Source organism: Homo sapiens, chromosome 3, assembly GCF_000001405.40.
Source record: "Homo sapiens chromosome 3, GRCh38.p14 Primary Assembly".
NCBI classification, from domain to species: domain Eukaryota; kingdom Metazoa; phylum Chordata; class Mammalia; order Primates; family Hominidae; genus Homo; species Homo sapiens.
The window spans coordinates 72,000,502-72,008,539 of NC_000003.12; the positions used below are offsets into that span (position 1 = coordinate 72,000,502).

General features: G+C 44.7%; 1 pseudogene, besides 1 other annotated feature; it reads left to right on the forward strand.

Annotated features, from left to right (window-relative positions):
• Positions 4,519 to 4,731: a silencer, noted in NCBI's record as "fragment chr3:72054171-72054383 (GRCh37/hg19 assembly coordinates)". NCBI's record gives its function as "represses an EF-1alpha promoter that drives an FKBP-Casp9 reporter gene in an ReSE screen in HepG2 liver carcinoma cells {active_cell/tissue: HepG2}" and the evidence as "EXISTENCE:reporter gene assay evidence [ECO:0000049][PMID:32094911]".
• Positions 6,273 to 6,474, forward strand: UBE2Q2P9 (UBE2Q2 pseudogene 9; annotated as a pseudogene).

Consider the following 8,038-nt stretch of genomic DNA (forward strand, 5'->3'; position numbering starts at 1 on the left):
GCTTGGGCTGTGATCTTCTCTTTGAGGGACACACAGTTCAACCCATACACGTGGGAAACATTGTGAGATGGGGTTTGGTATGCAGGATGGTTATCAGGGAGTGTTCATGTTGACACATGTGAAAGGAAGATGAGGAAGTAGGACCAGGCACAGGGGGAATTCAGCTGTTGAGGCAGGACCACTGACTATCTTGGCCAACCCCACTGGAGGACCTGGAGCTAGAATGGCCCTTCAGAGTCACCTGGTGTTGGGACAAGAGGGCCAGGCCCTTATATTCTCACATCTGTCAGTCACTGGATATTAGGCTGCACCAGGAAGGGGCACAACCTTGGCATGACAGTGGCATGCAGCTGAGGCAATCTCTGAGGGGCTGAAGCCGGAAGCTCTCTGCAGACACCACTGTCAGCAGCTGGGCAGTGAATCCTTCACTGAAGCGTATCTGGGGACAGGCATCCGAGCATCCTCCATGTAAGTTGGTCCCTCTGCCTGCAGGAACCTGCTTCCTTTCATCACTCCTTCAAGCCTAATGGGTTGACAACCCCTCAGTTACCAGCCCTCTGGCACTGCACGATGCCTTGTGGGATTCCTCTTTCCTACTTACGACTTTGCAAATGGTTCCTTTATTAAAGTCTCCTCCAACTGTTGTCAAGTCCAAAGCTTGTACTGCTCACTGCATGACAGCTATTGGTCGAAAGACAAGATGTTGGGGCAAGGGAAGAGATTTTATTTTGGAGGGCCAGCAAACTGAGATGGCAGACTAGTGTCCTAAAGAAACATGTTAAGCTAATATGAATTTAGGGCTCCCTTTATTTTAGGGAAATGGAGAAGATGCAGGGGGCTGAGGCCAAAAAGTGACAGATGACCACAGACATCTGAGTGGCAGTGAGGGTCAACTTCTTTTTCCTTGGTCCCGTCACAATAATCTTATAAAATTTTAATATAACATTGTTACTTCTGTGTACTCCCTTGTTTTCTCCTGGGGTGTTAGTTTCGGGGAAGGGCTATTCTCATCCTTGCTTGAAAGTTAAACTATAAGCTAAATTTCTCCCATAGTTAGATTGGCCTATGTGCAGAGATAAGCAAAAACAGTTAACCTAAAAGATATTGATACAGGAGACAGAAAGAAATTATTTAGGCAAACAGCGAGGGCAAAAGGGTCCTTGGTGGAATTACCCTTTTAACAAAAAGCAGCCCCAGAATTATTTCTTTTCCAACAAAAAGCGGCTTTAAAAAGTTGAGCTGCAGACGTAGATAAATAAGCAAGCTGGAAGCTTGCATGGGTGAATGCTGGCAGCTGTGCCAATAGAAAAGGGCTACCTGAGGGCCAGGGATGTTCAACATGGAGGCTTCATCTTGCCTTTTCTTTGTCACTACATATATGGTAAAGGAATAGGCAACATGGCACTGGCAGGTAGAGAACACATCTGCATAATAAAAGATTAGGGTGGGGATGGCCAAATGGCATGCCTAGTCCTAAACCAGTTTTCAAGCCTTATGCAAATGGCACACCTGGTCCGACCAATCTTTTGTGCCCTATGTTAATCAGACGCCACCTCCTCAAACTCATCTATAAAAACCCCTGCCTTTTGTTGTGGGCCAGAAACCCGCTCAGGACCCCTCTCTCTGCAGGAGAGAGCTCTTCTTTTTTGCCTATTTAACCTCCACTCTTAACCTCATTCCTTGTGTGTCCATGTCCTTGATTTCCTTGGCATGAGACAATGAACCTTGGGTATTACCCCAGATGAATGATGTCGCTTCAATATCATCATGGGAGGCTGGACAGAAGGGGTGTGTGTGGAGGGAGTTAGTTGTGCTAGGCTTCCTTTTTATGTTACATGCCCATCATATTGAGTGTGCTCTCTGCTTCCTGATGGGACCCTGACTGATGTGACCAAACAGGTCCAGAGTACTCCACCTCAAAAGATGCCACTGTGGCATATTGAGTATTTTCAGGTAAAGGCAATCAAGAATCTGCAGCAGATACAGGAAGAGCTCTCTGCCCTCCCTTGATCTGCCTGAGAGCTGGGCATAAGTTGCCCTTCCTTTGTGAAGGTGACTCCCCACTAGCACCAGGAAGGGAAGAGTAGTAACTCTCATCAACAGAGTATAGGGAGTTGACACAGAGACGAGTTTGCATAAACAGACCTTGTAAAAATAATGCTTACTGCAGAAGTGAGGGGAATTTTTCCCTTTACTTTCTGAAGATTCAATTCTTTAAGTCTGCTGAAATAAACTGGCAACAGACAGAGTAACAGGAGAAAAAGCATCCAAATTCATTTCAGTCGATGGTGTCATCACAGGCAAGTGAATACCCAATAACCCAATGAGGTCTAGAAGCTCAAATGCCACTTTATGTTGTGGAAAAAAATGGGGAATGGAAGATTCCTGGAGGGTAGTTGTGACAACATATGTGAGGTGGGGGGAGGAAGGCTGTTTTTATGCACATAAGGTCTCCCAGGTAACAGCCATCAGAAAAAAAGGTGATTGCCTGTGGTAATCTCTGTCTTGAGGAGGTTTCAGACCTTTATCCATCTTTAGGCAGATAAAACGGCCTCAGAGAAAAATCTCTGCTTCCATCTGCAGTTTACCATACTAAGGTAGATCCACGTAAGTTTCCTTTAAGAAAGGACAGCTTTTCAGGTCTATTCCTGCCTGCAGTTCTCTGAATAGCCAGTTTGAAATATATCAAGGAAGTGTGTTCTGGGGTGGCATATTCTTGCCTTCCACATTAGCTTCCACTCGTTCCCCTACGAATTTCCTAGTCACTTCCTTACCCAGCACTGTCCCTCAAAGCCCAAAGCCCCTTTCATTCTTTAAAATGGTATATAAGCCCCCAAGTCTAACCACTCTTTATTTCTACTTCTTTTCTATGAACCCTCATGTATGTAAATATTAATAAAAATTGTGTACCTTTTCACCTGTTAATCTATCATTTGTCAGGTTAATTCACAGGCCCCCATTTACTGAACCAAAGAGCGTAGAGGAAAAGTTTTTCCTCCTAGACATAACTTTAGGTTCACCTCAGCAGAGTGTGGAGAATATCACACAGCCAATTAGGAGGACAAATCTTGATTTTATTCCCTTTCCCTAGGTTCTGACCAATGGTACTGAACAAAACCATCAGGAAGGCCACTGTTGATGGGGCAGTGTTGGAAATATAATAAAAAGCAAAATCTCCTGGCCAACACGGTGAAACCCCGTTTCTACTAAAAATGCAAAAATTAGCTGGACATGGTGAGGTGTGCCTGTAATCTCAGCTACTCAGGAGGCTGAGGCAGGAGAATCATTTGAACCCAGGAGGCTGAGGTTGCAGTGGTTGCCACTGCATTCCAGGCTGGGTGACAGAGCGAGACCCTGTCTCGAGAAAACCAAAAACCAAAAACCAGAAACAAAATCTCTTTTTTTCCCAACCCAACCCAGAAAATATCTCCACAAAGCTAAAAGAGAAAGAAAACAATTTGATTATTGAATGAGCATTAAACCAGATGTGATGCACATCACAGGCAATGCTGCTGAAAGGATTGTAAAGACAGAAAGAAATCTCACTCTTTTATGTAACTAAGTGGATGCAACCCATTCAATACATCAGGTAGGTTTTGCAATTTGGAGTCAAGTGACAAGTTAAGCCTGTGCCCTCCCAGGAAACCGGGAGCTGGGATTTATCTTCCTTGATGATTACATTTCAAAGAGAAAGAGGTGGCTCCCAGGTCCTTGAGGAAATATTCTTGAGTTGTGAGACTGATCAGAGGCTATTTAGCCGTTCCAAAGATTTACATACATTTGAGAAGGACAGAAAAAGTAATTCTGAAAGAAAAGGAAGACAGGGAGAGAAGGCTCTTTCCTTATTTTCAACAGGGAGAAAAAAATGCTATTTGCCTTACAGAAGCCAAGGCCACACTCCAGCTGTGATACCAGGGAAAACGGGCGCAGCAAGGAAAAGGCCAAGGAGCTAAGGGTCCCTGCTCAGGTCCCTTGGGCACTGGCTCCTCCAGCCACCTACAGCAGGGACAGCTGTTGGCCTCTTGTTCAGCAATTTCAGAAGCAAAGAGAGGGCTCCCCTGCTCCCATACCTCTCTCTCTCTCACCTGTTCAGCCATTTCTCAAAATATCTGTTTTGGGTTCAGGACACGCGACTCCAAAATATGACTGTAGAAGACCAGAATAAGCTGCCTAGGCATATTGATTATTTTGAACTAAAAGAAATCAAGAACCAGCCAACACAGTAAAAGCTCTTCATCTTCCCCTCCACTGTGTAAAACAGAACTTGAAACCGCCTTTGCAAAATGACTGAGACAGTGAGAGATCTAACTTAACCGACCCCATTTTGCTTCTAACCTCCAAGCTGTCCTTGTTCATTCCTGGGCGTAAGCTGAACTAACTTTAGGAGAAACTTAGTTTATAGTTCTGTACCAGCCCTTTCCCAAAGCAGACGTCCTTCTTGCCTGGGGACTAGATTGCCTTTGTAGGACTAACGTTGGCCACAAGATTGGAAATTATGGTTTAGGAGTCATGCAGCTGGAGGCTGCAAGATTCTGACCCTCCCTAAACTGCTCCTCAGATAATTTGCTTGAGATATTTTGTAGACCTTGCACTTGATGGATCAGCTGACACCACCCAGATGAATAAACTGGCTCATCTGATCTTGTGGCCCCCACCCAGGAATTGACTCAGCAAGAGAAGACAGCTCCTACTCCCTATGACTTCATTCCTGACCAATCAGCACTCCTGGCTCACTGGATTTCCCCCATCCACCAAGTTATCCTTAAAAACTTTAATGCTTGGGGAGACTGATATGAGTAATAATAAAACTCTGGTCTCCTGCACAGCGGCTCTGCGTAAATTACTCTTTCTCTGTTGCAATTCCTCTGTCTTGATGAATCGGCTCTGTCTAGGCAGCGGGCAAGGTGAACCCCTTGGGCAGTTACAAACTCCCCTTTTGTAGAGAGAAATGTATAAAGGAAATTTTCGTTAGTAAAGATATCTATACCAGGAAGAAAGCTGCTTTGAGCCAGCTTTTATTACCTGAGACACTCTTATCTGCATAACAAGGTAACCTTTATTTCCACCATACATTTCCTCCCCTCACCCTCCTACGATCTGTCTCTACTGTTCCCTAGAAGCCCCAAACCCTTATGCCTTTCTGTAGTTCAGATTAAGTGTCAATCATCTGGCCTATCTTTTTTTTTTTTTTAAGAGAGAGATGGGGTCTTGCTATGTTGCCCAGGTTGGTCTCAAACTCCTGGGCTTAAGCAATCCTCCTGCCTCAGCCTCCCAAGTAGCTGGAATTACAGGCATGAGCCACTGTAATTATAGAAGGGCCCACATTGGCCCTTCTTTGAGTCTTATGTTTTCATGGGGCTCCTGTGTGTGCATATGTACATAATTAAAATGGTTTCCTCCTGTTAACCTGTCTTATGCCAATTTAATTTGTAGACTAGTTCACTGAGGAGGGTAGACGGAAGCTATTTTCATTTCCCCTACACTTTCAACAGGAGCAGGGGTTGTGATGACTAGAGTGTGGGCTCCGGGGTCAGATGGTATTATGGGCTAAACTATGTCCCCCTAAAAAGATATGTTGAAGTCCTAATTCCCATTACGTCAGAATGTGACCTTGTGGCAGGCCAGGTCTCACTAATGCGGGCCTCCAGTACAACTGTCCCAGCACTGACTGAGTAGCTAGGTTAAACAGTAAAAGCTGATTGAGCCAGTGCTCTTATAAAGAGTCTGAAATATAGCAAAGAGCCCAGCAAGAGTTTTGCCTAGGCTTTTCCTGGGCCTTGAAGCATGACAATATAACAAAGGAATTCTTAACAGGACCTTTTTAGGATTAAACACGTTTTGTTGGGGGTCTGAAATAACTCCCCAGGCCTCCACAAACAAGTTTATTGGCATCTAAAGGAACTCCCCAAATCTTTATGATTTAGCAGGAGACAAGATTAGGGTAATCACCCCAGCACCTAGACCCATTTAGACTAAGTAAACTTACTGAGGCTTCAGAGGAAGGTCTTCAGGACTCAGACCTTAGTTATAGATTATAAGAAGTTAATCACTTACGTCTTTGAATAAATACACACTTACACATAGATGTACAGCTTAGAAGGTATATAAGCTCTGGAAAACTTTATAATTTTGAGTTGGTCTGGCGATAATTTCCAGGCCTTCTCCCTGTAACCAGTTATGGAAATAAAGACTCTCTTCCTTCCCAGTTCATCTGCATCTCGTTATTGGGCCACGAGAAATAGCAGCCCAACCCTCAGTTTGGTCCAGAAACACATCTTCAGCAAGAACCACAAGCAATTCCGCATAATCAGCTGGAAGCTGGATGAGCTGCACTGCCAGTTCCCGGTTCTGCTGCCAGGCAGCCTGCACTTGCTGCCGCTGCTCACACTCCACTGCAACATCACGGAATCCTATCCATCTTCTTCACTGATGTGGTTTGTGGACTCTGATGACCCAAATCTGACATTAGTTCTGGAATGTACTAAGAACAAGTTGACACCAAGAACCTGGACACCCTCCACTGGTGAGAACCTTATTTGGAAATAGGGGCTTTGTAGATTTAACTTCCTTCCACAGGTGTTGAGTGCGATAACACCCTCAGTTACGATGAGGTCATTAGGGTGGGCCCTGATTCAATATGACTAGTGTCCTTTGACAAAGAATCTTTGCTTGGCCTTGAAGTTTGCTTCACTCACGTCAGTAATTCTTATAAAACTTTTCCTGGCCCCATCTGTGTACTTCCTTGTAAAATCCAGTTTTAGCAAAAACAAACAAACAAATGAACAAATGTGAAAGGGAAATATCTTGGGCCCCCCAAATCACTAGGCTACAGGGAAAAGTCAAGCTGGGAAACTGCTTAGGGCAAACCTGACTCCCATTCTATTCAAAGTCATCCCTCTGCTCACTGAGATAAATGCATATCTGATTGCCTCCTTTGGAGAGGCTAATCAGAAACTCAAAAGAGTGCATCCAATTTTCTCTTATCTACCTATGACCTGGAAGCCCCCACCCCGCCTTTCCAGACTGAACCAATGTTCAGTGTTCATCTTACGTATGTTGATTGATGTCTCATGTCTCCCTAAAATGTATAAAATCAAAATCAAACTGTGCTCTGACCACCTTGGGCACATGTCATCAGGACCTCCTGAGGCTGTCATGGGCGTGTGTGCGTCCTCAACCTTGGCAAAATAAACTTCCTAAATTAACTGAGACCTGTCTCAAATTTTCTGGGTTCACACACACAAACAAAAAACCCTGCTGAAGCAGCTTAGGAGGAAGCTCCTCATCCTCGAGACCTGATCATCCTTGATAGCTGATCAGGTTCCTCATCCTCCACCATCCCCCAGGTGATGTCTGATCACTCCAGCCTGTCTTCAGCAAGAATCCTAGTGGGTTGGTTTAACCAGGATGCCCCTTACCACTGATGTTTTCCTCTTGGTAATTTTCCACCCACTGACCCCCACCCTGCTCAGTAGCTATAAATTGGCTCATGTTGTATTCGGAGTTGATTCCAATCTCTCTCCCCCGCTGCAAGACCCTTTTGCAGTGCTCCTCATACCTATCGCAATGGTCCTGGATAAAGTCTTCCTTGCTGTGTTTTAACAAGTGTCATTGAATAATTTTTTCTTTAACACCAAACAAAAAAGGGAAATTTGAACACGGACACAGAGGACTATGTGAGGACACACCAGGAGAACACTGTATGAAGAGGCATGCAGAGATGAGACTCATGCAGCTGCAAGCCAGGGAATGCCAAGAACTCCTGGCCACCACCAGAAGGTGAAGGATGCAAGGAAGGATTCTACCCAGAGTTTCAGAGGGAACATGGCCCTGCCGAGACCTTGGTTTGGGACGTTTAGTCTTCAGACTTGTGAGACAACAAATTTCTGTTGTTTTGAGCCACCCAGTATGTGGTACTTTGTTATGGTAGCTCTAGCAAACTCATACAGATGGAATCCAGGCTGAGTCAGACAGACACAAGTTCAAATCTTGGTTTAGCCACCTATTGGTTGTGAAATTTGAAGGAAATTTACTTAAT